This window comes from Homo sapiens, chromosome 1, assembly GCF_000001405.40.
Source record: "Homo sapiens chromosome 1, GRCh38.p14 Primary Assembly".
Lineage (NCBI taxonomy): Eukaryota > Metazoa > Chordata > Mammalia > Primates > Hominidae > Homo > Homo sapiens.
Genome location: NC_000001.11, coordinates 154,855,773 through 154,882,014, shown reverse-complemented (window position 1 = coordinate 154,882,014; position 26,242 = coordinate 154,855,773). Strand labels below are relative to the sequence as shown.

The 26,242-nt window shown below is 52.6% G+C and overlaps 1 protein-coding gene across 5 annotated transcripts in view, besides 17 other annotated features; it reads left to right on the top strand.

Annotated features, from left to right (window-relative positions):
- Positions 2,934 to 3,518: an enhancer, noted in NCBI's record as "H3K4me1 hESC enhancer chr1:154850973-154851557 (GRCh37/hg19 assembly coordinates)". NCBI's record gives its function as "activates a minimal SCP1, AML or CMV promoter by ChIP-STARR-seq in primed H9 embryonic stem cells {active_cell/tissue: H9 hESC(primed)}" and the evidence as "EXISTENCE:reporter gene assay evidence [ECO:0000049][PMID:30033119]".
- Positions 3,085 to 3,134: an enhancer, noted in NCBI's record as "active region_1791". NCBI's record gives its function as "activates an Ori minimal core promoter by ATAC-STARR-seq in GM12878 lymphoblastoid cells {active_cell/tissue: GM12878}" and the evidence as "EXISTENCE:reporter gene assay evidence [ECO:0000049][PMID:35858748]".
- Positions 4,104 to 4,689: an enhancer, noted in NCBI's record as "H3K4me1 hESC enhancer chr1:154849802-154850387 (GRCh37/hg19 assembly coordinates)". NCBI's record gives its function as "activates a minimal SCP1, AML or CMV promoter by ChIP-STARR-seq in primed H9 embryonic stem cells {active_cell/tissue: H9 hESC(primed)}" and the evidence as "EXISTENCE:reporter gene assay evidence [ECO:0000049][PMID:30033119]".
- Positions 11,027 to 11,983: an enhancer, noted in NCBI's record as "H3K4me1 hESC enhancer chr1:154842508-154843464 (GRCh37/hg19 assembly coordinates)". NCBI's record gives its function as "activates a minimal SCP1, AML or CMV promoter by ChIP-STARR-seq in primed H9 embryonic stem cells {active_cell/tissue: H9 hESC(primed)}" and the evidence as "EXISTENCE:reporter gene assay evidence [ECO:0000049][PMID:30033119]".
- Positions 11,734 to 26,242, top strand: part of KCNN3 (potassium calcium-activated channel subfamily N member 3) — a 172,827-nt gene continuing 158,318 nt past the window's right edge. For 2 of the 5 annotated variants that reach the window (NM_002249.6, NM_001204087.2), the window contains exon 1: positions 11,734 to 12,983. In NM_002249.6, coding sequence (NP_002240.3) covers positions 12,051 to 12,983 — 933 coding nt within the window. In that variant the 5' untranslated portion in view covers positions 11,734 to 12,050. Of the gene's footprint in view, positions 12,984 to 13,944; positions 14,067 to 22,138; positions 22,321 to 26,242 lie in introns of those variants that run through there. The other 3 variants (NM_001365838.1, NM_001365837.1, NM_170782.3) reach the window with 2 other exon arrangements.
- Positions 11,865 to 11,954: an enhancer, noted in NCBI's record as "active region_1790". NCBI's record gives its function as "activates an Ori minimal core promoter by ATAC-STARR-seq in GM12878 lymphoblastoid cells {active_cell/tissue: GM12878}" and the evidence as "EXISTENCE:reporter gene assay evidence [ECO:0000049][PMID:35858748]".
- Positions 13,391 to 13,910: an enhancer, noted in NCBI's record as "H3K4me1 hESC enhancer chr1:154840581-154841100 (GRCh37/hg19 assembly coordinates)". NCBI's record gives its function as "activates a minimal SCP1, AML or CMV promoter by ChIP-STARR-seq in primed H9 embryonic stem cells {active_cell/tissue: H9 hESC(primed)}" and the evidence as "EXISTENCE:reporter gene assay evidence [ECO:0000049][PMID:30033119]".
- Positions 16,178 to 16,247: an enhancer, noted in NCBI's record as "active region_1789". NCBI's record gives its function as "activates an Ori minimal core promoter by ATAC-STARR-seq in GM12878 lymphoblastoid cells {active_cell/tissue: GM12878}" and the evidence as "EXISTENCE:reporter gene assay evidence [ECO:0000049][PMID:35858748]".
- Positions 16,639 to 17,528: an enhancer, noted in NCBI's record as "H3K4me1 hESC enhancer chr1:154836963-154837852 (GRCh37/hg19 assembly coordinates)". NCBI's record gives its function as "activates a minimal SCP1, AML or CMV promoter by ChIP-STARR-seq in naive H9 embryonic stem cells {active_cell/tissue: H9 hESC(naive)}" and the evidence as "EXISTENCE:reporter gene assay evidence [ECO:0000049][PMID:30033119]".
- Positions 18,056 to 18,145: an enhancer, noted in NCBI's record as "active region_1788". NCBI's record gives its function as "activates an Ori minimal core promoter by ATAC-STARR-seq in GM12878 lymphoblastoid cells {active_cell/tissue: GM12878}" and the evidence as "EXISTENCE:reporter gene assay evidence [ECO:0000049][PMID:35858748]".
- Positions 18,595 to 19,268: an enhancer, noted in NCBI's record as "H3K27ac-H3K4me1 hESC enhancer chr1:154835223-154835896 (GRCh37/hg19 assembly coordinates)". NCBI's record gives its function as "activates a minimal SCP1, AML or CMV promoter by ChIP-STARR-seq in naive H9 embryonic stem cells {active_cell/tissue: H9 hESC(naive)}" and the evidence as "EXISTENCE:reporter gene assay evidence [ECO:0000049][PMID:30033119]".
- Positions 19,269 to 19,944: an enhancer, noted in NCBI's record as "H3K27ac-H3K4me1 hESC enhancer chr1:154834547-154835222 (GRCh37/hg19 assembly coordinates)". NCBI's record gives its function as "activates a minimal SCP1, AML or CMV promoter by ChIP-STARR-seq in primed H9 embryonic stem cells {active_cell/tissue: H9 hESC(primed)}" and the evidence as "EXISTENCE:reporter gene assay evidence [ECO:0000049][PMID:30033119]".
- Positions 21,488 to 21,782: an enhancer, noted in NCBI's record as "tiled region #4766; HepG2 Activating non-DNase unmatched - State 22:ReprW, and K562 Activating DNase matched - State 5:Enh". NCBI's record gives its function as "activates a minimal TATA promoter and a strong SV40 promoter by Sharpr-MPRA in HepG2 and K562 cells {active_cell/tissue: HepG2 | K562}" and the evidence as "EXISTENCE:reporter gene assay evidence [ECO:0000049][PMID:27701403]".
- Positions 21,488 to 22,225: a biological region, named in NCBI's record as "Sharpr-MPRA regulatory region 4766".
- Positions 21,609 to 22,088: an enhancer, noted in NCBI's record as "active region_1787". NCBI's record gives its function as "activates an Ori minimal core promoter by ATAC-STARR-seq in GM12878 lymphoblastoid cells {active_cell/tissue: GM12878}" and the evidence as "EXISTENCE:reporter gene assay evidence [ECO:0000049][PMID:35858748]".
- Positions 21,612 to 22,225: an enhancer, noted in NCBI's record as "H3K27ac-H3K4me1 hESC enhancer chr1:154832266-154832879 (GRCh37/hg19 assembly coordinates)". NCBI's record gives its function as "activates a minimal SCP1, AML or CMV promoter by ChIP-STARR-seq in naive H9 embryonic stem cells {active_cell/tissue: H9 hESC(naive)}" and the evidence as "EXISTENCE:reporter gene assay evidence [ECO:0000049][PMID:30033119]".
- Positions 22,292 to 22,792: an enhancer, noted in NCBI's record as "H3K27ac hESC enhancer chr1:154831699-154832199 (GRCh37/hg19 assembly coordinates)". NCBI's record gives its function as "activates a minimal SCP1, AML or CMV promoter by ChIP-STARR-seq in naive H9 embryonic stem cells {active_cell/tissue: H9 hESC(naive)}" and the evidence as "EXISTENCE:reporter gene assay evidence [ECO:0000049][PMID:30033119]".
- Positions 24,927 to 25,086: an enhancer, noted in NCBI's record as "active region_1786". NCBI's record gives its function as "activates an Ori minimal core promoter by ATAC-STARR-seq in GM12878 lymphoblastoid cells {active_cell/tissue: GM12878}" and the evidence as "EXISTENCE:reporter gene assay evidence [ECO:0000049][PMID:35858748]".

Sequence of the window (26,242 nt, the reverse complement as noted above, 5' to 3'; positions counted from 1 at the left end):
TGGGCTCCTGTCCTCAGATGGGCCCTGCCCAGGCCAGCCAGGGCGCAGCTAACTTCACGTGAGCCCAGAGCTCCTTCCTACATGCCACACATTCCTGGAAACCAGGGTGCCTCCCTCTCCCTTTCCTGAGCAATGGCTGGACTAAGGTTAATTGTATTCCTCGAATTTAAAGCTTTTAGAGTTCTGATCCAAGACCCCTTCTCGGTCCGTGAAACCCCTTCATATGAGAGGGATGAAAAGTGAGGAGAGAAGGAAATGAACCTTCATCAGGCACCTGCCTAGCACCATGCCAACCTCTTCACAACTACACTTCACAGGGAGAGCAGATCTTTTCAGCTAGAACTTGTCTAATCTGGAGTAGGAGATACTGGCTGCCTGCTTGTCTCTGGCAATCTGTTCTTCTGGACAATTTCTGCCTTGGTACCAGTACTACACAAATCAACTTCCTGCAGTCTCAGACCCAGGGTTCAGGTCTCTCAGGATTTCTTGCTATCTTGTCCTTTCTCTCTACGGCCAGAAGCTCGTTCGATCAGCTGAGATCCTTGGGTCTGAGGACACTGGATGACCCAAAACTTCTCCATTGGGCAAGGGGGAGTTGACAGCTTACTTGGCCCTAGTCAGGAGATGCAGAAGTGTGCGCCCTGCTGATCACAGTTAAAGCTCACACTGCTAGGAACTGCGGTAGTAAGATGTTAGGGGCTGCGAGGGCGGGCTCCCACCCTTTTTCCTTTTCCTTCTCTAGCCCTCCTGGTGGGCTCAGAAGCTTCTATAATGGAAGTAGCAAGAAGTAAGTAGGAAGCCACTGGCCTTTCTTACTCTCTGAGGCTCACATGTGCCAGTTCCTGGGGCTACCAGGAGGCTTAATCACTGGGTTTGCCGGAGGAGAAGATAGTGTGCTAAGAAAGGAGGATTAGCACTCGCCAGGTCTCCCAGGAGTTCCTGTGTTGGGCCACAGGGATTGCCACAGCAGCACTCTGTCATAAAATCGGCCCTGGGAACACAATTTCGGAAATAATCAGAGGAGGCGAGGTTTCTTAAATTGTAGGAAAAAGCTCCCTGGTTAGAATAATGGCTTCTATTTGGCATCCATTCTCTCTCAGATGTGCAGCCTCATCCATTCCCATTCTGAGGCGTGACTTTCAAACACCAGATGGGAAGAGAGCCAAGACGAGGGTGCTGGGCCTTGGAATCTGAAACTCAGTTATTTCATCCTGGGCAAGTCCCTAGGCCTCTCTGGGTCAGTTTTTCTTTGTAAATTGGGATGATAAAAACTGCCTCACTGAGAGAGACAGTGGTAGATTGAAGGATTTAGAGAAGCCTTCCATCCTGCCCTCCATCTCTCCCTTTCTCTTTATGTATAAATATATATATATGTGTCCACATGGATATACACATATACGTGTGTGTAGGTATCTATATGTATGTGTATGTATGTGTGTCTATATATACGTGTGTGTGTGTGTCTATATCTATCCCAAGGATCTCTGGGATGGAGGTGGGCTTCCCTAGTTCATTCACATTTCCTCCAGGGTTGATGCACGTGGCAGGGGGGATTCTCTGCTGGTGGTCAGGGTGGAGCAAATCTAACTTTGTCCTCCTCATGGCTATGCCCCAATGTCACCAGGCGTTAGGGTCTGCGTGAGACAAGCACAGCCTCCAGAAGGCAAACCCAGTGGCCACAGACATGTGGGGTGAATTGCAGGGCCTAGCGCACTTCCCTCTGTGCCCTCTCTATAAAGGTTTGTGTGGCCCTGCGGGCTCTGGAGGTGAGACCAACTTTGCTCTGCCCAGTAGCATGTGATCTTTGGTTTGGATGCTCCACATTGGACCTATGTCTGTGGCTGTGTAAAGTCTTGTGGCCTTGGTGACTTGGTCTGATGTGTAGGTGGGTAGGTGGGGTGTCACATGAATAGAGGTGACAATGCTCTGATTTCAAGGTGGGGAGCCCAACAGTGAAGGAAAAGTTCTGGTCTAATGGTGGGGACAGAACAGCAGTGACAGTGTCCTGATCCCCTGGAGAGGCTGCTCATGGAGGTGGTATGCCCTGGTCTCATGGCAGAGACCCTGGTAAGGAGCATGCTCTGTTTTCATGGTGGGGAGACTAGCAGTGGTGATAATGATCTGGTTTCCCAGTCGGGACAAACAAGGGGGCCTGTGTGGCAGTGGGGAGCCAGGGTGCTTCTGCCTCAAGGCAGCAGAGTGGCCAGGAATCCAGCTCAGAAAAGTCCTGGACCTGTGGTTCTCAAATTAGAGCAAAATGGCTGTCAAGGTCTTTCCTGCAGTCACTGCCCATGTACACAGCTGTGGCGCCTCTCCTCTCCCTCCTTTTCCACTCAGCATCCCACCTGAGAGACGCTGGCCACAGTGATTAGGTGTCCGATTTGATGGGGGGCCTGTTAAGACGCTATTGCTTTTCTAATTCTGGCTAAATCGACATTGGTTTTGTCAATCTACCTACATAGGTCAAGCTTGTTGCTTCCAATTTCAGGTGATTTCCATCTTGTCACTCTCTCTTTCCCTTCTCAGCCCATCTAATCCTTGGGTTCTCCAGCTGCCCAGTACTTCCTGTGCGGCAGCATCACTGCCTCTGAGGCTCGGCAATTAGAGACTTGGACTCCAGCAGGGAGGGCATCTTCGGATTATTACTGCGGAGGGAGAGCCCGACTGCGGTGTCCATAGCAACCCTCCGGCTGCCACCTTTCCCAGGAGCGAAGGGAGGCAAAACAAGGGCGGGAGGCAGGAGAGGGGCCTGGCCTTCTGCAGGATTCCTGTCAGAGGGCTGGGCACCCAGGTTGCAGCTCCTGACTGTGCCTGGTGGCTGTGCTGAGGGGAGAGGGGGCTTCTTCCCTCGTTTCACAGCAGCAACCGGGAGTGGAGCTGTGTTGGTGGATGCCCCATAGCAACCGAGAGATGATGGACCAGTTGAAGGGGACCATCGCGGAGGCCGGGCTCGAGTCCCGGCTTTGTGCCTGACTCACGAATGAGTACAGGCAAGTCCCCTCCCATCTCCGGAGGTCTTCTCTTGCTAATAGGGTGGTGGGCCTGGAGGCGCCTCTGGCATCCTGTCCAGCCCTCTCATTCAAAGGCTTTATGGTGCCCTCACCCGGGACAGACAACAGATGGTTTCTTCTTCCCCAATGGTGAAAAAACCCAAGGAAGCCTGGGAAATAAGAGCGACTTTTGCAAAATATTCACAGAAGTTGATTCTGGCACCAGATCCAGTCCCTGGGCCTCCATGGAAGGAAGCAGAAAGCTGAGGCCGGGGTTCAGATGCTGTCTGGGGGCTCCCTCGCATCTCCCAAGGTGCCTGGAGTGCGAAGCTATGTGCATACGCCACCAGCAGAGGCCGCCACACTCCTCACAAACCCGCCACAGGTTGCTCTGCCCCCATCCCCATGGGTGAGCACTGACCAGCTCGGACCGCAATCTCAGAGCCAGGGCGGGGCGGGGATCTGCTACTGGCCACCTGGGGTCCAGGGAGGGGCTGGCTCAGGGGGCTGTGGCCTCAACTGCCAGCCGGCCCTGCTCGTCCCTCACTGCCCTCCCTGTGGGAGAGACATCCATCCAGGCCCACGAGACACTGGCCGCCTTCTTCCCTGCTAGGAATCCATGGCTGCTCCGGTCTGGGCCCTCCCTTGGGCTGCTGCTCAGGTGCCTGTTCTGCATTTGGGAAACTGTTAGAGTTTTTTTTTTTTTAAATTATTATTATACTTTAAGTTTTAGGGTACATGTGTACAACGTGCAGGTTTGTTACATATGTATACATGTGCCATGTTGGTGTGCTGCACCCATTAATTCGTCATTTAGCATTAGGTATATCTCCTAATGGTATCTCTCCCCTCTCCCCGGAAACTGTTAGAGTTTTTATTTTCTGTGAGTCGTTTGAGACTGGGGCCAGGAAGCTGATTTATTCAGCAAATCTGAATTGAGAACATGCTCTATGACAGGCCCTGTTTTGGGCACTGGGGTTATAGCAGTGAATAAAATAGACGCAAATCCCACCCTGTGGAGCCAAGTCTCCAGTGGGGGTGGGTGTCATCACCTACACCACAGTGTGGGGCTGGGCAGGACACACGCACCCAGGATGGCAAGTGATGGCTCTCTCTACCGAGTCGGCCCCATGCAGACAGTGGACCTACCCAGACTCTGGGGCCGAGGCTTCCATGCTGAGCCCTTGTCAGTCAGGGGTCTGCACAGACCCCTCTCTTGTACTGGCCAGTGCACGTCGGCAGCACTTCACCGTGTGCAAAGTATGCACCTCCACTGGCTCCCTGTGAGCCCGGCAGGCATCTTGGTGACAGAATGTTGGCAACCTGTGCCCATTTCCCATGCCTTCTTTCCAGACACGGTATCAGCACCTTCCATTCGACCTTTGACTCCCTCAAGTAAATAAACGTTCCCATCCGGACTGACTCATCTGGTTAGAACAACAAGTTCCTACACCAAAGCCTCAGAGAAGGGGTCAGGAGACACATTTTAAAATGTATCTCAGTTTTCACAAGACAACTGTGCAGGAGGTGTGAACGATCCCAGTTTCACAGGCTCAGAGGGGCGCACCTTGCTCGTCATGGTCCCTGGCAGGAAAATGGCAACTCGGAATCAGATGGACCGATTCCCAGCCCAAGACTGCTCTGGTGCCTGGCCTGGCCTGGCCACTCCACTGTCTTCTCTCCATGTTAGGGCCATCCTGGCCTCTGCAGAGTTTTAGAAGCAGAATCACCAACCTTTGTCCAGACAGATCTCCATGGAGCTGCTCTTTTGAAACCTTTTCCCACTCCTGTTGTTAGAGGGGGTTTCATGGAGGACCTGGGTGGGAGTGGTGGGCAGGAGGGATACTTTCTCTGGAAAGCAATGAAGTTCAGTAGCAGAGGCTGAGTGGAGAGGTTGTGACCTCTCAGAGCGCATAGACCTGTGTGGCTCATGGCTTGGACTCTCCCCTCCCACTGTGAACAAGAGCAGGCCAGTTAACCTTCTCTGAAATTTGACTCAGTTTCTTCATCTATAGAATGGGCATACTAACTTTACTCCCTGGCGTGTTGGAACCATGAATGCCCACAGTTGGCCCTCAGTAAATGCTCCAAGTGTAGGGAGTCAGGCCGTATGTCCCCTTTACCTTGACACTCAGATGATGCAAAAGAGCTCCAGTTTTTCTTTAGCAAAGCAGAGTATGGGGAGGAGCCTGTGTGAAGCTGAAGACTCCTTGGCACCCATAGGTGGCTGAGAGTTGTTGGTGCGTGGCCAGGGGACAGGTGACATGCTGTAGTCCTACCTTGCTCCTCAGATCATGGCTTGCAGGGGCAGGGGTTAGGTGGGCATTCATTATAAGAGGCTTCACCCAGGGTCTAGACATCCAGGGACTCTCAGGAAAGAAGTGTGGACAGAAGGCCTACACTTACCAGTTGGCATTCCTGGTGGCCAGCCGGGCAAGTAAGGGGCAAGTAATGTGTCCTGGGTCAAAGTGCCCAAACTCTCAGTCAGGCTAAACTCACTCACCCTCTTACCTGCTTATGTATTCAACACACAATTTGGGTGCAGCGTGAAGTGCAGTGTTTTGTGTGTGTGTGTGTTTTCCAATTTATACCATAAGCTCCTGTCACCAAGGAGCTTATGGTGTCAATTAAAATCAGGGAAATTAGCCAGGCGTGGTGGCGGGCGCCTGCAATCCCAGCTGCCCGGGAGGCTGAGGCATGAGAATCGCTTGAACCTGGGAGGCGGAGGTTGCAGTGAGCCAAGACTGAGATCGCGTCACTGCACTCCAGCCTGGGCAACAGATTCTCTCTCTCTCTCTCTGTATATATATATGATAAAATCAGGGGAGAGAAGACATATATCTATAGACAACACCAGTACAAAGCAAGAGGTGAACAGTGTCCCCAGAGAGATACAATAAAGTGCCAAGGGAATTCGGAAGAGGGAGATAATGTCAAATTGAGGGAGGAGAGGAGGGGAGGTCAGGGAAAGCTCTGGGCAGGGGTGGCACTTGTGCTGCTCCCTAAATTCTCACAGGACAGGACACAGAGCAAGAGGTGGGCTGGAAGGGCTTTCCAGGCAGAATGGATGGGAAAGAGCACAGACAGACCCAGGTTCAAATCCATGCCTAACTGGTGACCTTGAGCAAACTACTGAAACCTTTCTAAACTCTAGTTCATGGGAGTAAGAGTGGCAACGATGAGGCAATAGAACCTCCCCAGCCAGCCTTCCAGGGCTGCCAAGAGTTGCAAATGAAATATTTTACATAAAAGCAGTTGGAAAACTATAAAGTGCTCTGCAAACACAGGATTTGTTTTTATTATTGGAGCATTAATTAATCCAGTAATGAAGCTCCTAGATAAGAACACAGTAATGACTGAACCCACATGGGCTAATGAGCTGTTCAGCCTAAAGCTGTCCAACCATTCAGAGTCTGAGAAAGGGGGTGGTTAATCTTTATGACCCTATCCTTACCAGGTTAAGGGTATCCCTCCAACACCACTGGCTTTTCTAGAAAACCTGCCATTATCTGTCATTTGTGTCTAAACTCCCTCCATCCATCCATCCATCATCCATACATCCATACATCCACCCATCTATCCTCCCATTCATCCGTCCGTTCATCCATCCATCCATCCACCCACCTATCCACCCATCCACACGTCCATCTGTCCATCCATCCTACTATCCATCTGTCTAATAAATCTTTTTTTTTTTTTGTGATGGAGTCTTGCTCTGTTGCCTAGGCTGGAGTGCAGTGGTATGGTCTTGGCTCATTGCAACCTCCGCCTCCTGGGTTCAAGCAATTCTCCTGCCTCAGCCTCCTGAGTAGCTGGGATTACAGGCGCTCGCCACCACGCCCAGCTAATTTTTGTATGTTTTTTTTTAGTAGAGACGGGGTTTCACCATGTTGGCCAGGCTGGTCTTGAACTCTTGACCTTGTGATCGGCCTCCCAAAGTGCTGGGATTACAGGCGTGAGCCACCAGGTCCGACCAATAAATCTTTAATGAGTAATTCATAGCCAGGCACCGTGATCAGTGTTGGGGATACTGAAAAAATTTAGAGCCCTTTTATGCAGGTCACAGCCTGTGGGAAAGACAGCCATATAAACCATGAACCACTACTTTTCTTAAACCTATTTTCAGTTAGTTCTACCTTTTGGGGATAACAAGGTCTACAGACAATAGATTATGGAATTTTAAAGCTGAGTGATCTTAGAAATCATCTTTTTTATCTCACTATTTTACGGATGAGGAAATTGTGTTTATGATTTGTTGTGAAAAGTACTGTGACTTTCCCTTACTTGCCTTCAAATGACCTCATCCAGGTTTCAAGTTTAGTCAGTTCGATTAATCTTTACTAAGCATCTATTGTAAGCGGCTCTTCGGAAGAGCTGCAGTACAGCTGTGAAGAAGACATCATCCCTGCCCTCAAGGAGGTCATGGTCTATGGGCAAAGGACACATATGGAGATAACAGCTGTGTTGCTCCGTAGAGGCCCTGTTAGCACAGGGCACTGAAAATACAGAAGGAGCTCCTGATTTGGGTTTGGGGAGTTCAGGGGAAGCTTCTCAGAAAGAAGACCTTTGAGCCATGTCTTGAAAGGCAAAGAGAAATGTGTTAGATGGAAATCTGGGGGAAGGGCATGCCAGGCAGAGGGCATGGAGATGTGAAATAGCATGACTTACGGGAGAGCTACAATAGGTCGGTGATGCTGGGGCTTAAGGAGGAAGGTGGTGAGGAATGAGCCTGGAAAGGAGGGCAGAAACCGAGTGCCAGTACACTTGATGTGGAGCCAGTATGGCCAAAGGCCACCCCTACTTTCCTTGTCTGCTCTTCCTGTCTCTCTGAGGTAAGAAGCTCCTCCACACCCCCGTTTGCAGACTAAAGAGGCCTAATTTGTCAGCCTGTCATCTTAGGGCAGCATAAGGAGTTGCTCCCCATTCCTTAAGGTGTGGCTTAAGTCCCACCACCTCCAGGAAGCCACCCTTGACAACCCTCTGCCTTCAATGAACTCTACTGTCTCGCCCACACTTTGGGATCTGCATTGCTGTTTTTTGTCACCCCATGTAAGTATAACTTGTCTCTACAGTGAGACTTTAAGTTCCTGAGGGTTGGGTGTGTGAGTCACATGGTAATGTTTAATAAACACCAGTAAGAATGAATCCTTTAAATTTGGGTTTCAGGACATATGGCGAGGGTTTGTCAAAAGGTTGGACAGGCCTGGGTTTGATTCCAGCTTTATGGCTAGTTACTAATTAGTAACTCTGGGCAAGTTTTAAAATCTTTTTAATGCCTCAGTTTTTTCATCTATAAAATGGGTGATGGCCTCAACTCACAGGCTGCTGTGAAGACATGGTTGTGGCTGGGGGCCAAGGGAAGCATTGGGGGCTTTTCAACAGTGGGGCTTTGGACAGGCAGCAACAGCGGGAAGACGCCTGAGTGCGGTGCATCTGGAGGGCAACGTGGAAAACCTGACATGATCAGGCCCTGTGGTTGAGAGCTCCCAGCTGATTCACTAACCTGTCGGTGCTTGACAGTTACAAAGTACTTGGCCGGTGCTCTCATTGGACTAAGGAAATTGAAGGCCTGAGAACATAAGCAACTGGTCACAAAGTGGGCGAGTGGCAAAGCTTGTGCTGGTGAGAAGGAAGGCAGAGGGTGGAGCGCACAGCCTGTATGTAATGATATAGGAGGCAGTAATATGCTGATAAATGTTGAACAGCCAGGAAAGATTTAGCAAGCGGCTTCCAGGAAAACATAAGCTCTAATTTACAGTGTTAGCCGATTTCTGTGGTGTAAATACTCTGATCATGGCTGATTTCAAGCTGCTAATGTGACATCACTGTGGAGTTAGGAAGAGATGTGTATGGATGATCAGAAGGTCATCTTGCCTGTGGTCACACAGCCATCCCTGCAGCAGAGAACGGTTCCAGCCTGGGCAGTCTGACACTTGAGCCCAAGCTCTAAACATGACATTGTCCTCCTCCTCCTGTTCATGACAGGATAGCTGTAACAAGGGGCATGAGCTGGCTCCGTGGCATCAGCTGTCAAGTTCCAGCCCATTTCCAGATAACCACTGATCTTTGGTGCTGGCATAGTTAGGGCTCTACCCAAGCTATCTTTCATCCTTATCCATGATGGCAGGACGTGCTCTGATAGGCCCCATTTGGATCCCATTGGCACAGCCAGAAGAACTGGAGGCAAGAGGCTGGCCAGAAAGGTTAGCTGAGGCAGAAGGCAGCTCATGGGGGTAGAGTGAGCATAGGAATACCCAGGCCTGGAGCCTGTTCTCCAAAATTGATTTTTCACAGCCCAGAAAACTGTATCCAACACTAAAAAACCAACACGAACAGCACATTTTTGCTACTAACAACATATTCATGATAATTTATTAGAGGATCATTAAACCTAAGTATGCGATCTGGAGCCTTGAACCAAGCAGGTGGCTCTGTCTGCGGATGGAGGAGAGGGAGGGAAATCAAGAATACAGAAGGGAAGGGCAGGGAAGGCAGAGGATGCTGAAGGGGTTGGGGGTGGGTTCTAGAGGGCTTGGTCATGGGAAAACACATGAGACCCCAGGCTTGCATCTGAGGCCTGGTACTGTGACTTCTAGTGTGTGTGTGTGTGTGTGTGTGTGTGTGTGTGTGTGTGTGTGTGTGTGTGTTGGCAGGGGTAGGGGAAATGATTATGTCATTGATATCAAGATTATTATTTTATATATATATATATTTAGAGACAGGGTAACACTCTGTCGCCCAGGTTGAAGTGCAGTGGCGCTATCACAGCTCACTGCAGCCTCAAACTCTTGGGCTCAAGCAGTCCTCCTCCCTCAGCCTCCTGGGTAGCTGGACTACAGGCACTCGCCACCATGTCCAGCTAATTTAAAAAATTTTGTAGAGTCTGGGTCTTGCTATGTTGTCCAGGCTGGTCTCGAACTCCTGACTTCAATCAACCCTCCTGCCTTGGGCTCCCAAAGTGCTGGGATTATAGGCATGAGCCACCATGCCTGGCCAGAATCAAGATTATTGTGCAAGAGTAATTGTCACGTATCTGGGGTCGTGGCTTGTATTACAAGTAATATTTAGCTCTCAATCATCAGGGTTAATGGGGGATTGGAGAGGTGAGAACTGATATACAGAGGGGACTCTGGGCTCATTTTGGGGGGGCTCTGTCCCTCCCTGATCTGGACACTTGCTGCTTACCAGTCAGGAATGCTGTTTTAGGAGCTTCCTATGTGTATATGTGTGCATGTGTGCATGCATGGGCTAGTGTGTGCACACAACCATGTACACATGTGCACATATGTCCACCTGCTTACATGTTTTCTGGATGTGTGTCTGTGTATGTGTGCATGGATCTCCTACCCTTTCCTCTTCCCATCGAGGGAGGGAGCTGGACAGAGGCCAAAGGGTGATGGGGAATCAAGAGCCAGAGAGGAAGAGGCCTGCCTTTTAAAACCCCAGGTGTTCTGGGGAATTCCCTCATGGTGACTTCCTTTCTGATTCCTAAGGCTGCTGTGGTTAGAAATGAAAATGAATTCAGCTCTGGTCCCATCCTTTGGAACCCCCTCTGCACACAGTGGGGGCTTAATAAATACTTGATGATGATGGTTCTGAACCTGGGAAGCCAGCAGCTGTTCCTAGTTCTGACTCTCAGAGCCCCATGGGGCAAATCAGGCAGGGAATGACCATGGGGGAATCTTCAGTCTTCCTGCCAGATCCCCCTGTGACTACACACCCAGCTGTTAGGGAAGGGGCTGGAGCCATGGTCCACTTCACACACCCTGCTTTGGAGAGGCCAGTTCTTCCTCAGCAGCTTCTCTTTTGTTTTCCCCAACTAACATTTGAACAATATTTATTGAACAACCACTTTGTACTGAATATCATAGTGGAAATGCATCCTGGGAGAAAGTATCTGATCTGTGGGGTCAGACTGACTAAGTTCAAATCCCAGCATCTTTAATTACAAGCGGGATGACATCTGACAAGTTACATATCTATGTTTGAGCGTTTGAGTGTTTTTTCCACTTTCCTTTCTCTCCTTCTTCTCCTTCTCCTTCTTCTTCTTCTTCTTCCAATTTTCATCTGTAAAAGGAGAGTGATGACATCATTTTTGTGGGGTTGATGTGAGGGTTGGAAATAACAGAGAGGACCCTGAACACGAGGCGTAGGCACTCAGTCAATGGTAGGTGAGTTTATCCACCGGGTGTTAGAAGGTGTGGATCCCCCCTGCTTCTGTGACCTTGACGTTGTTACTCAACACCTCTAAGCATCAGGCTTTGTAAATGAGACCATACTGCCCACCTCCTTGGGTGTTTGGAGACTGTATCCGGATAATATATGTGAAACAACCTATCGTAAACCCTGGTGGTTAATAAATGTTTGCCTTCCCCTCCGTCTGCCCCCTCATCAGGGTGCACACCTCCCCTCCTTCGGAGGCCCTCTGTCCCTCCTCCCCATCGCCCAGCGTGAGCGAACATCCCTTATCGCCGTGGGCTTAAGGGTTGTGGCCATACCTGTCAGAGGAAAGAGGACAGCGGCTCAGCTCCGGGGTGGGGGAGCAAAAACTACAGTTCCCAGTCCTCGCTGCGCCGCCACTGGGGCCGGAGCCCAGGACGCCAGGCCCCTCCTCTGGGGAGGAGCCTATGCGGGGGGCGGAGCTAGGAGGAGGTTGGAGAGTTAAGCCAAGCCAATGAGACCAGCTGCTAATAAGTGGGCTTGGCTTACAATGTAACAGTGGCAGGAGGAGGCGAGCGAAGCTATTGAGCCAGCGAGGAGTGAAGCTGAGCCTGGCCTCACACGCTCCTAGAGGACCACCTCCTGAGAGAGTTCTTTCACCCCCTCTTCTTTCTCCAAGCTCCCCTCCTGCTCTCCCTCCCTGCCCAATACAATGCATTCTTGAGTGGCAGCGTCTGGACTCCAGGCAGCCCCAGAGAACCGAAGCAAGCCAAAGAGAGGACTGGAGCCAAGATACTGGTGGGGGAGATTGGATGCCTGGCTTTCTTTGAGGACATCTTTGGAGCGAGGGTGGCTTTGGGGTGGGGGCTTGTGCTGCAGGGAATACAGCCAGGCCCCAAGATGGACACTTCTGGGCACTTCCATGACTCGGGGGTGGGGGACTTGGATGAAGACCCCAAGTGCCCCTGTCCATCCTCTGGGGATGAGCAGCAGCAGCAGCAGCAGCAGCAACAGCAGCAGCAGCCACCACCGCCAGCGCCACCAGCAGCCCCCCAGCAGCCCCTGGGACCCTCGCTGCAGCCTCAGCCTCCGCAGCTTCAGCAGCAGCAGCAGCAGCAGCAGCAGCAGCAGCAGCAGCAGCCACCGCATCCCCTGTCTCAGCTCGCCCAACTCCAGAGCCAGCCCGTCCACCCTGGCCTGCTGCACTCCTCTCCCACCGCTTTCAGGGCCCCCCCTTCGTCCAACTCCACCGCCATCCTCCACCCTTCCTCCAGGCAAGGCAGCCAGCTCAATCTCAATGACCACTTGCTTGGCCACTCTCCAAGTTCCACAGCTACAAGTGGGCCTGGCGGAGGCAGCCGGCACCGACAGGCCAGCCCCCTGGTGCACCGGCGGGACAGCAACCCCTTCACGGAGATCGCCATGAGCTCCTGCAAGTATAGCGGTGGGGTCATGAAGCCCCTCAGCCGCCTCAGCGCCTCCCGGAGGAACCTCATCGAGGCCGAGACTGAGGGCCAACCCCTCCAGCTTTTCAGCCCTAGCAACCCCCCGGAGATCGTCATCTCCTCCCGGGAGGACAACCATGCCCACCAGACCCTGCTCCATCACCCTAATGCCACCCACAACCACCAGCATGCCGGCACCACCGCCAGCAGCACCACCTTCCCCAAAGCCAACAAGCGGAAAAACCAAAACATTGGCTATAAGCTGGGACACAGGAGGGCCCTGTTTGAAAAGAGAAAGCGACTGAGTGACTATGCTCTGATTTTTGGGATGTTTGGAATTGTTGTTATGGTGATAGAGACCGAGCTCTCTTGGGGTTTGTACTCAAAGGTAGGGGCTGTGGTTTCTCTTTATACCTTGAACAAAAGGAATATGTAGGTAGCAAGAGAGGGATTGAGAGAGGGGGATTGTGAGAGAGAGAGATTGAGAGAGAGAGAGAGAGAGAGAGAGAGAGAGAGAGATTGAGAGATTGGGAGGGAGACTGGGAGAGAGAGGTGGTGGTGGTGGTGAGAGGCGCTTGCTCAGTTATATTCAACACTCTAACTTCCCGTGGTTTTCCTTCTTGATCCCGGGAGAATTCATTCCTAGCTTCCTCTGGGGGGTAGGGGACATCCCCACACACTGTGTCTAATTTGCAGACTCTCTGTTAGGGAGGATTCAATAATCCCTTCTGAGAAATCGCTTTTCCTCCTGGCTCACTCGTACTAAAGCATAACCCAGCAGCTTAACGCACCAATTAATTACACTCCGCCTTCATGTGTTTGCCAGTTCCTGCGACTTCCCCTTCTTTCCTCCCCTCCCTGCTCCACTCCATTTTCCTGAGGATAAAAAAGAAATAAATGTCTGGGTGGGGGGTGGGGATTCCGTACCATTGCCCAAGTCCCTTCTCTCCCTGTCTTCTCCATCTCTTCCCAAGTTTCTGTTTCCCTCCTCTTCTCAGAGAGTCTCGGGCAAAATAGAAAACCATCCATGACCTGGGTCTCCTGAGGGCATGGGGTAAAAATATAGGTGGAGGAAATCAGTGGTCCTTTCCCTCAGGAGAGAGGACTCAGAATAAACCTGCTGCTGCTTCGTAAACATCTCCTGATAAAAATGGCTACAGGTGTTACCTGGGCAGAGCAGCTGGGCGCCGCCTTGGAATCAGCTGGGGGAGCACCTCTCCTTGGGACGGGATGACAGGGCTTCCCAGGCGGTCCCCACAAGCCCGCGCCCCAGCTCAGCCCCAGTTCTCCCCTCCCACCTCAACTCCTCCTTGGGATAAATAAAGATGAGTGTGTGTGTGAGTGCGCGCCCGGATGGAGAACAGCAGGCACTGGCTTTAGCGGGGAGCTGGCCCCACTGCTCCAGCCTCTCAGTCCAGCCCCAAGACGGAGGAGGGGGTTTCCCTCCCAGAGGGAGTGGAGATGGAGGAAGGTGGGTTTCTGCCGATGCTCTGCTTGCCGGGGAGCTCTCCTGCTGTGGGCTGGAAGGCTTGGAGACCTGGGAATCGGTGGACAAGTGGCTCCACGATACCCCCACCCCCAATTTGTTGGTGTGTGTGTGTGTATGTGCGTAATGTTTGTACGTATGCATGCGCCTGCTTGTTGCTTGGGTTTTTCTATTTATTTGTCATTTGGGGCAGGGGGTGGCTTGGTGGGGGGGTGGCTGGGCGGGCTGGCCATCGGGTAGCTGGGAGGGGTTCAGCTGTTGGAGGTTTCAAATAGAGCTTGTTTCAGGCAGGGCACAGCTGCTGCGAGACTGTCACATTCCTTATTGAAATCCAGCCGCAAAAACCTAGGAGGTGCTGATCGGATTTCCCCCATTCCCAGCATCTCACTTTAATCGGTGATGGGCAGACTTTCCCGCCCTGGAAACGGGTGGGGCAGACCTGTCAGACGACCTGAATAGCCAGGACCAAGACTTCCAGGCAGAGGGTCCTCCAGCAACCCGGCTGCTCTCTCAGTGGGCTGCCCCAGCGGAGGGCAGCACCTGGAAGCCGCCTTAGTCAAAATAGCTCAAGGATGAGCGTCTCAGCGAGCAGAAGCGAGTGGGGTTTCCCTTGGAAGCGCAGCTCACTTAGTCATTCCCTGTAATGAGCCTCTGCGTCTGCGGGTCCTTCTGCTCGCTGCCTTCTCAGAACCGCCTCTCCTGCTGGGCGCTCCAGGATATGGGGCTGGCAGCCTCGCTAGGACTGGCAGCTGCCCTGGTCACAGCCCTGGCTCTCTCCAGTCCTCCCTTGGAGACCAGGGGCCCTCACTGGGGAAAACTGATGAAGGCCCAAATGCAAGGGGGGTGTGGGGAAGGGGCAATCCCAGCACCTTCTCTTTCAGTGACACCCGTAGTCAGAGTTCTTAAGGAAACGGCTATTCCCAGAGACAGTGGCTGTGCACAGATCCCAGTGTGGGATCTATGCACATTTGTCTTAACGCGACGGGAGAGTCACCACTCTGCAGGATCAGGCCCTCTTCCCTGCCTGGGGCAGGTGCCACCCCTGAGGGGGAGCTCAGGGAAAGGGGCTTTCCCAGAGATGCGGAAGGCAGATTTTAGGTGAATGAAAGGGGAGGCCACCTGAGGTGCTTGGCTCCCCGCATTTCTGAATCACAGACCCTCATAGCAGCAGTGGCGTGCACCGAGGGGGCAGTAGCTGAGAGGTCCTTCTTGCCTCAGCGGCCACTTCCTGTGTGCCTTGGGGCTGGTCTTGAGATAAGCAGAGCTCATTTAACTTGCTCACTCATTCACCCATCCCTGCACTGTCCATCCATGTTTTGAGTCATTTATGAAACAAGTATTTTCTGGGTGTCTCCTATGTACCAGGCCTTGTACACACTGCAGGGCCAAGATAGATATCCCTCTCTCCTGGAGGCAAATGGGAACATTTCAAGGAACTGGGCCAGAGTTGGAATCCCAGCTCTGCCACTACTATTTGTGTGATCTTGGATAAGTCATGGAGCTTTAGCGAGCCTGTTTCCCCAGCTGTCGAGTAGGGAGAATTAAATTAGAGACGTGTAAGGCACGTATCTGCCTGCTCAACAAATGGGACCTATTGTGATTGTTACTGATGATGACAATGATGAGAGGAAAGGAGATATCTTTTTCCTGTTATCTAACTCTGGCTGTAAAATTAGTTGGAGCTTTAACAGATTGGGATCTAAGACTTGTCAACGGAGTGAGAAGTTGTATCTGGGAGGGAAGAAGTCCTGAGAAGGGACTGGGTCTGACTAGAGACCACCTTTAAGCATGGTTTATTCTTGGGGGGAGGTGAATATCTGTGTCCCAGTTTCATGGAGGAAGTGGTCTCTACTCCTCCATGGTCTGGGTTAGTCACAGCCCAGGAGAGCTCAGGGACATTCAGTGGACCCTGGGGAGGGATGGGTGACACTCTTTTGCTGGAGAGCTTTGTGTGCCTGGTTGGCCCTGCTGACCAGTCTGGAGGCAGGCGGATGGACAAGGCAACCTCAGGGGTACCAGGCAGATTAGGTAATTCTGCCCATCCAGTGGCAGCTCCCACTCAAAGGCCCTTGGGAGGTGACAAACTTTTTTTTTCCCCAGGTGATTGAAGATTAACTAACCTTGTGCCTGAGCTGCTGCTTTCTGAAGTTCTCTGCTTTTTTTTCCGTGGGGTTGTGGCCTTGCTGTTCACCTATGTTTGGCGGGTGGCTGCTGCTGGGGAAGTAACTTGTCATGCAGGCCTGGGTCTTTTGAAAAGGAGGGTGGCATGTGCCCTGAGCATGTTCAGTTAATGCAAATGGGAGCCAATGTGAGGGGGTTGAGCAACCGGGACAGAACATCCCCAGCTCCTGCCTCACAGGCCTGTAGGTGCTGATGATGGAAGTAAGCTCTGCTAGGAGGCATCAGCCTGGAGCAGGGAGGTGGGGCTTGATTCCTGGGTGAGCTCAGATAAGAGGAGAGCTTCTCATTATTATGCCTGGGACATGAGATCAAACGGCAGAGATGCCTGAGATGGCCCCAGTGGGCTCCTAAAGGTACCAGGTGACCCTTGAACCAAATGAGGAGTCCTTTTTTTTTTTTTAATAGGCAGGTTTACTCTCTGAAGTCTTAGACATTGTGACGAGGCCTGGTCTAGAGATTCTGTTGAGAATCTTAATCACATCATCTGTACTGATCGGTGCCACCTGGGTAGACCAGCAAGGACCTGGGGAGTCCTTCTTAGTGTTCTTTATTTTCTTTTAGAGCTGGTTTGGGGCACACCCACTCCATTGCATTAAATTACCTGTATGCTCTCTTCCCTGGGTTCAGAAAGAATTAGGGAAGGGAAAGGCCTGGCTGCCCTCCCCTTTCCCCAGGCTGTGACTTCACCACCCTGACCCTGCCATCATGTTGGTGGCTGAGCTGGTACCTCTGTGTGGCTGGCAAGGCACCCAGGGGCCTTGTTTCTCGGGATCTCAGGCGTTGGGCTGTGGGATCTTCTCAGGGGAGGCTGGAGAGTGCTGGTGTGGCAGCATGGCTCTTCTTTTCCACCAATCTGTACAACCTCAAGCCACTTCCCCATGCCCGGCCTTGAAACTGGTCTGCATCTCTCCTCCCAGGCAGAACCAGTCCTCTGCCCACTCCCCCACCATGCTCCTGTCTCGCCTGCCCCACTGATTTCCTGCCCCTCTGCTCCTCTCTGTGGCCCCTGCCTGGCCTCGTTGCTGGGGTAACCCAGGTGGCAGAGAGGAGTTGGTGTGAAGATGCTTATCCAGGCTGCCCTGTCTGCTCCCACAGTGTCTTCTTTTCCCACTTCTAGTTACTCTTTCTTCAGACAACCTCATGGGAGGCCGCTTCTCCGTATGCCCAGGGGAGCCTGGTCGTCTGGCCATTCACTCTTTAAACAGAATGGCCAAGGCCAACTTGTCTGTCTCTTTGCAGACCTCACAGAGGTCCCTGAGTCCATCCCCAGCCTCTAGACCAAATGATTGAGTAGTATCACTGGAACCAGTTCTGATCCTCTGCTCTCCCTGGTCACGGAAGCCTTGTCTGCAGAAGGGCAGAGCAGCAGTGCAGGCTTGGCTAGCCAAGTGGCTCTGCACCTTCTGTTTGGACCCAGGTGCTGCTTTGGGATAGGTTGTTGGCTGTCACAGTGTCCTGGTATTTTTGAGAAGATGCCTCTGGGTACTGGTGCCTGTGTTTCAGGCCATGGTGGAAAAGTAGGAGTAGGATAGACCCTTTCCAGCCCTTTCCATGGACCCTCCCTGTGGGGTGACCTGCAGGACCAGGATGCAGAAGGCAGGAGACTGGCTGAGAGCCTGCGAGCCCACTGCCGAGGGCCCTAGGCACACATTTTGTCTTCACAGGTCACACTGAGTGTGTCGGCCCACAGGAGGGCAAGCGTGAAAATGGCCTTTTGACAGCGTGAAAATGGCCTTCTCCGCCACCCGCCCCAGGGTGGTGGTGACTTTATTTATAATCTTTGTGGACAGTCTGTAAATGAGTCAAACATCTGTAACCCACAGGGGGACAGCTAACTTTTTATATATGCTTCTCCTTTGCGTGTCATCACACTATTTATAACTGTCCTGGGGAAAGACTTCATCACACATCCGGACTTCCCTTCCCCACAGGCGGCATTACCCAGGTGCTCCGCCAGGGGCATCCTGGCTGGGGCACTTATCTCCTGCACAGCCTAAGTAGAAAGGCGGCTGATGCCTCGTATTTCTCTTATTGTGCTTTTAGGAAGAGGGATTTGTAAGGCCATGGTCAAAAGATCTGCTTTAAAAAAATATAAGGTAAAGAAAGTCAAAATGAAAAGAAATTTGAGTAACCTCTGTAGAGAATCTGGGGCCTGGATGGAAATGTAAGATCAGAATAGAGCGCTTCAGCTCTGTTGCAGTTATTTGTGAAGCACATTTGGGGGAGAAAATGAGTGTGTGCGGGGGTTGTGAGGGGCGGCTGTATATTGATGAAATACCACTTTACTCAGCTCAGTGACAGGCAGGCCAGCACATTCATTTGTAGTTCTTTTTCTTCTCTTTCTTTCAAAACCCCAAAAGGAGAGCAAGAAAGCAAGGCACCTATTCCTCTTTAAATAATGAGGGTGGGGAATTCTGAGACTGTGCTTTTCCCAGGAGCTGTAGGGAGGAAAATTCTAGTGCCTTTTCTTCGGGTGAGGAAAGTCCGGAGGAGGCGAATGGGTTTTTAAGTGCCCCCTCCCCCGACCCTGTCATTCCACCCCCAGGAGCTCAGCTGGGATCTGAGGGAAAGGAGGGGAGGAGCAGCTGGGGGCAGGGACCACGCTACTTTCTGGTCACCCAGCACTTCGCTGGGCTGGCCGGGATGTTGCTGAGTGACAGGAGAGGGGAAGGCAAGGACCATTTGCTGAGTGCTGGGCTGGCTTTACATTACACCCGGGAGTACAAGGAGCAGGTCGTGCTCACCGCCCCCTGTGTAGATGAAGTCACCGGGCCACACTGACACTGCCAGCGGTGGTGGCACTGAGATAAGAACCCAAGCCCGTTTAGCTCCCAAGTTCATGCCCTTTCCCTTGCCTGCTGCTGCCCATATCCTTAAAAGAGAAAAATTGAGTTTATGGCACTGAGACCCGTGATGCAAAATGTTGGAACAGGAGGAACTTTACCACGAGCTGGGCAGGAAGGGCTTGATGGAGGGCGGGAGATGCTGGCGCAGGTCCTGGAGAAGACAGTGCTGGAGGGGTGGCCAGGGCAAGTGTGGGCACCCCAGGTTGGCCTGGGATCAGGGTGAGATTGTGGACTGGCCCAAGGTCAGTTCTTGATGCCTCCTCTCTGGGGTCTGGTGCTGCTGCCCTCAGGGTGATACCGGGCAGGTTGTGAGGAGGGTAGGTGTGGAGAATACAGGGAAAATGAAAGCCCTTCCTGCAAAAGCTCCTTCCACAGCCCCTAGCACCCCCACCTTCCACCCCTGGAGGGCCAGCAGGACCCCTAGACCTGACTGGACATGTCCATACATAACTCTCTCACCCCTCACCTCCACCTTGCTCTTCTCTTAGGCTGCCTTTCTCCTCCAGCACTGGCTGTGTGGCTGTTTATCGGGGGACAGTCACATGAGCTCAGCATCTTACATCTTACAAGGCATTTTCACCCCTGGGTCCCTCATGACCCTCACGGTGGCTGGCCCAGGGCTCATGATGACCAACTATCTCAGGGATGAGAAAACTCGGCTGCACAGGGGTTCCCAGGGTTGAGTGCCTCACTCCAGGTGCCCATCTCAGGAAAGAGAGGGTTCTAGAATGAGAGCTCAGGTCTCAGTACACTTCTGATTTCCCTATTCCAAACCCCACCACAAACTTCTGCTGGGGATTTGAGTGAGGGACCTCGAAGGGCTTCTCCATTCCTGGTTCTAGAAGTTTCTTTTTCATTCTTGAGTCCCATTTTCCTGCGTCCCTGTCTGTGCCTCATGCCTCTGTTGAGCTCTGTCATGGGCAGTGAGTGCCGAGAAAAGGCCCGTCTCTGCTTTGAGCCCCTCAGGAGGTGCTTCTGCCTCTTGCTTCCAGCTTGTTGTGTGATCTTTGTCGAGTCCCTTCCCCTCTCTGGGCCTCGTTTCTCTGGCCTAAAAACAGGAGCTGAACTCCCTTCCTGTGCCGAGGCTTCGCAATCTGATTCCAGATCATGTTTCATCACGAGGATGAGCAGCCACAGTCCGGAGAGTCCTGTTCTTAGGGGTGTCAGACAGCACCCAGATGGCATCCATCCCAGGCGGACGGTGGTTTATGGTGTTGGTGCTTGGGAGGACTGAGGAAGGAGACAGTGACTCAGACTGGGGATGCTGGGTGGATTCCCTGTAGGAGGTTGGGGGGTCCCTGAAGGACTAGACAAGCCATGATGGGAGGGGCTCGGGCAGGGGCTCAATTCTGAGTGTGAGAAGCCCGGGGAGAGGGGGCAGAGTGTGTAGGGAATAGAGCAGGCATGAGGGCAGCTTCAGGTTGCTGCCGTGTGGTGCACACAGGGGCATGTAGGGAGGAAAGAGGAGACTGTCTCGTCTGGAGAGGCTTTGGGCAGGCAGTGAACACAGGCCCAGGGCGAGGGCACAGTGATGGATGGAATATTTGGTAGCATCAGTAACCACCAGGGCTGCAGAGTTCTGCACACTCAGGCCCCGAAGACCTGATATCCTTCCTTTTAGAGGTGGCCAGGCTTGGTAGTTAAGGACTTGGGGCCAGGCGCGGTGGCTCATACCTGTAATCGCAGCACTTTGAGAGGCCAAGGAGGGTGGATCACCTGAGGTCAGGAGCTCGAGACCAGCCTGGCCAACATGGCGAAACCTCATCTCTACTAAAAATAAGAAAATTAGCCGGACCTGGTGGCTCACGCCTGTTATCCCAGCTCCTTGGGAGGCTGAGGCTGGAGAATCGCTTGAACCCGGGAGGCGGAGGTTGCAGTGAGCCGAGATCGCGCCACTGCACTCCAGCCTGGGCAACAGAGTGAGACTCCATCTCAAAAAAAAAAAAAAAAAAAAACTTGGGTGGCACACCAGTGATGGGCGCTCTGGGAACTTACTGAACCCAAAGCCTATTTCCTCAGTGTTAAGAGGGAATCACAACTACTGGCTGTAGCACAGCAGCCACCACAGAGCCAGCCACACACTGGGTCTCAGCAGCTGGCAACTGTTGCCTTTATTAGAGTGGTGGTTAGAAGATGCCACCTGGAGCATCAAGACAGGAGGGGCATATGCGCCCATGTCACCCCTCCACTGTCTGCAGGTGTCCCTGCCTGGAGAGCACGTGTGGAACATGCCCCTTTTCTCATGAGCCAAATGGCTTCCCGTCCGTGACAAGCTCCCCAGTCATGTTTCTGGATAGACCTTGTTGGGTGAATCTGTGTGAGTAAAAAGGAAGTGGGCTGTTCTCCGGAGGGCAGGGCTGCAGTGGTGGCCTGGGCTGGACTTCTGGAGCCTTCTTACCCCATGGGGCCCTGTTATTCTACACTCAGTTAGCAATTTGTGGTCTGGGCAGAGCTAACCGGGTGTGGACATGCAAATCGGACAGGTGGAGAGAGAACAAAAATAAACCCGTGGGGCCAGGCCAGAGGCTGAGAGGCCTGGAGGAAGGTCAGGGGGACACACGATGACCAGGCAGAAAAAGGCTGAGAGAGTAGGGCCACAGGGAGAGCCGAACTAGGAAGCTGACCTGGGACAGAAGCAGGGAAGAAAAGCATTGCCACAGCTTGCCTGATGCGTCGTCAAGAGAACACAATTTCCCCTTCAAGACTTGAGTCAGGGTGCTTCCTAGAATTCTAAAGATTCTTTCTGCCCCTTCACCCTGCTTGGAGCACCAGGGCTGTGGCAGTGGGTGACGTTCCCAGCCAGGTGCCAGGGGGCAGGCAGCAAGAGCAGCTGGGCAGGGGAGGGACGTGCCCAGGGCTTGCCCTTTGTGGAAGCCATATCTGTTTCACAAGCCCTGGGCACAGGGTAACCAGAGTTGTATTCTGAGCAGAGCCTTGATGATACTAAATGAACAGCATGCAAATGATGTGTGAAATAATATGCAAATTGGCATCTGTTATTTTTGAGTCAGCTTGTTGGGCATTTTTCTTAAAGGACAGGAGTGCTGCTCAGTGTCAAATTAACAGGAAAGTCAGCTTAAAGGACACTCCTTGCAGGGACTGAGCTGGCACCTACTCCTTAGAGCTTGCTGATACCAGGCCTGCCACGCGACATCTGCAAGGACAGTTGTTTGGTGTTTTGCTTCAGGTTATAGATGGAGAGACCTATAAAGGTGGGTGCCCTGCCCAGGTTACCCAGTAGGTAGGGAGGAGGAAGCAGATGACCTGTTGCCTGGCTTGAGCCATTGAACCTTGCTGACCTGTCAGTGGCTTTGAGCTGAGGGGGCCCTGCAGGGAGGCAGGGAGAGGCTGCCCTTGCTCATTCTGGTCCATCTGCCACCGTTGGTTTTCCTTAAGCTCTGTGCCTCAAACTCTCCGAGCCTCAGTGTCCCCGTTTGTAATGGATGTGGGGAGACTGACATCCACTAACCTGGGGAGGATGACACTTGCTAGTGGTTGGTCAAGTGGCCAGCCTGGCTGTGGGTGCTCCTGGGCTGCCAGCAAGTGGTGGCTCCTCCTAGCCCCTTTGCCTGAGTTGGCATCAGCCTGCCTCCTCGCAAGCTTCCACTAGCAGCGATTTTTGCAGAGCAAAACCCCTTTTGAGATTTCTGATTTTAACGAATTGGAGTTTAGCTATTTTCTTTCTTTTCTGGCTTCCAGTGGGTAAGATGTTGGCTCCCCAAAAATCTCCCATACATGGGAATGGCCGGAGCTGCCTGCATGGGTGATGTTACCTTCTCCCAAGGTGAGGGCTTGGGGTAGGCATGTTGCTCAGGGTTGAGCCACCGCCTTTGGAGGGCTCAGAGCTGGATGGCATTGGTGGAGGATGCAGGGGAGGCCTCCTCAGGGGGGCACCATACCTGCCCTAGATGGCCAAGCTCTGTAGGCCAGCCAGGTGTGCTAGCCTGGGTGGGCAAGATCCCTGCATATGCCTCCCAGCCCTGTGAGGAAGGCAGGGAAAGGACCATCCTCCTCCTTATAGGACCCCAAGGCCCATAGAAGTTATGCGGTGGCTCACACCTGTAATCCAGCACTTTGGGAGGCTGAGGCGGGAGGATCGGTTGAGTCCAGGACCTCAAGACCAGCCTGGGCAACATAGTGACACCTTGTCTCAAAAAAAAAAAAAAAAAAGTTACATGACTTGTCCGAGGCTACTCAGCATTGTTAGTGGCAGGGGCATAGCTGGAATCCTGGAATTCCTGGTTTTAGTTCTTCCTCTCTTTTTGTTTCTCCCATCCCTCTTCTGGAAACATATCCTGAACACCCACTGTGTGGCAAGCCCTGCTCCAGGCGGCAGGAGTGCAGAGAATCTGTGCCTTACAGACTCCAGGGGGGTCTCTCCCCAGCCAGATGTGTTGTTCTCCACCAACTCTTCCTAAGAGAGCACAGGCTTTCCCCATAGACCTGGATTCAAATCCTGGCTATTTGGCTGTGTGGCCTTGCGCAGCGGCCCCTTTATTTGGGAGGTGGTATTTTAATTCCTCTTGTGGGTGGAGAGGTGAAGAATTCAACGTGGGCCAGAGCTGTCACCCAGGGGGCTCTTGTCCATGCTGGGCAATGGTGGGTTTTACCTTGGTTGTTTCTTCTGAGAGCTCAGTGGCCTTGGGATCATGCAAGGTCCCTCACAGCTGGGCCCATGGTTCCCAGCCCCTCCTGCTCTGGGCTGGACCTGGTGTTAAGCTCTGCCAAGATGCTTTCCCCTGCTCTGGGAGAGTAATGGTGCTGAGCCTGGTGGGAGGGCATTTTGGCAGAAGACACCTGACGGGGTGCACACTATGTGCCAGCGATGGAAAGATCCCTTAAGAGTGAAATGAAATTGATGCAAGCTGAGAGCAAGTCTAGGATGGAGTTGAGTCATGAGGGTTTCCTGGTGGGTGGACGGGATCATATAGAAAGAAAGCCTGTGTCCACAGCAGCTTGGGGGAAGGCACCGCTCTCATTACATGGGAACTTATTTTTCCTTCCGTAAGAATGACTCCAAAGCAACACCGGGTCTTATTCAGGAGTGAAGAGGTGACAGGCGGTGGAGAAGAGAATATTTATTAAGGGCCTACTATGTGTGTTTACACACCTCATCTCATTAAGTCCTCACAACAACCCTGTGAGGTAGATATAATTCTCCCCATTTTACAGATGACAGACCCAAGGCTCCGAGAGTTTAAGTGACTTGCTCAGGGTCTCACAGCTGGGAGGTGGTGGAGTTTGGATTTGCACACAGGGGAGTGTCTCCGACGCCCTCACATTGTGCAGCAGACATGCTTTTGCATATCAGATCCTAGACTGGGCTCTTTCAAGCCAAAAAGCTTCTCCTGCCCTGCCTGAGCTCTCCACTCCCGCCCACCCCACCCCTTACTGTGCCACCCTCAGTCCCCTGCCAGCCTCCCCCAGAGCCTCAGGGGATGTTTTGTGCTCATGGAGTGGGGTAAGGGTAGAGGGAGGAGGGGAGGAGGATGCTGGCAGTTTAGATACAGGGGTTTGCTGAAGCTCCAGGTGCCGTGCTGGGCTCTGGGGCTGAGGAAAGTCTCCTGTGGGCCCTGGAGGGGCCACCCGAGCCCTCAACAGCATGCGTCCTAGTGTTCTTGCCGCAGCTCTGTGGCTTCTCGGCTGTGCAGCCTTGTTGAGAAAACTGACCTCTTTGAGCCTCAGTCTCCAGGTCTGTGAATGGGGTTAACAGTGTTTTCTCTCTCTCATGAGAATGGGTGTCATGAGGAATAAATGAGACAAGGGCACTGCCTGGCGTGTTCTGGTTGGTTCTGGGGGTTCAGCACCAAATAGACATGGAGCTCACAGGCTGGTGGGGGAGGCAGGCACTGAACAAGTAACAACAGGTCTGATGTGAGCTTTGCGAGAGACAAGGGCACACACATGTGGCTTGGGTTTGACCCACAAGCCTGAGACTTGGTGTCCCACGCCTCCGTCTGCTCCCCTTCCCCCCATTTCCTGAAGGTCCATCTCACCCTCACTTCTTCCATCCTCCCTCATATCTGTCTCCCAGGCCATCCTCTGATTCTTCTATATGGGCTATCTAGCCTGGTGTTAGGAGAACAGGCTTTAGTGCCAAGCAGATATTGGGTACAGCGCTGGCTGTGTCACTTACTGTAGGCTGTGTGGCTTTGGGAAGCTGTCTCAGTGCTTTGATTCACAGTTTCCATGGGGGTGAATCCTAACCTGGCCGCTGGGGCTGTCATGAGAGTTAATGAGATATTGCTGTTTGTAAGGCAGAGGACATGGTTTCTGGCACACATGGAGCGCTCTGTGAAGGCCAGCTGAGTTGCAGGTGAGGAGAAGCATCCTAGGCTAGGTGTGGGGCAGCTTAGTTTCTGGTCCTCTGTTTTGTCATCTAGAGAGTGAGAGAAGGAGCCTGAGGAGGGGATGTTTCCTGCACTGGCCATCTGCGGGAAGGTCGTGAGCACCAGATGGAATTTCGGAGAGAACTGGAAGAAAGCTACGCTATTCCAGCTGGCGGGGGTCCTCATCGATGGTGCATGTTGGCAGGGTGGGCTGCGGGGGGCGTTATCTTCCTATCCCACAAGCGAAAGCCTGTGAAGACATCGTGGCTAAGGGGATTTTCTCACTCTCAGGAGACAGCTGAGAGACAGGCCCTTCTGGCCAGCCTCCCTCCCTGCTGCCTCCTCCCTGCAGGCCAGCCCTTGGCACGAGTCCTGCTTGTCTCCTGAACCCTCCTAGCAGCAGGGATTTAATTACTATAATGTAAGTAGCTGTGGCTTGAGGCCTTCTGGTGGAGGGGAAACAGATTTGTCTTCTCACTGGGAGAATAAAAGTCTATGGAAAGGAAAAGAAATGTACTTTTCCCCGAGGTACCTGAGGCTGTTGGGCTCAGGGGAGCTTCCCTCAGGGCGGGGAGAGGGAGCATGGGTGGCAGCGGGAGGAGGCACCACGTCTGACTCAAGGACCCTTGGCGCTTGCTTTTGCTCTCTGTGGGATCACTCAGCTAAGCTGCCTCAGTTTCCCCAATGACCCTGCTAACAGATCAGCCTGACATTCAGTAGGCATCTGTCAAGCACCTACCATATGCTAGACACTTAGAAACTTCCAGCTGAGTAGCCAGCCCAGGCGGAAAAATAATTTCATTCA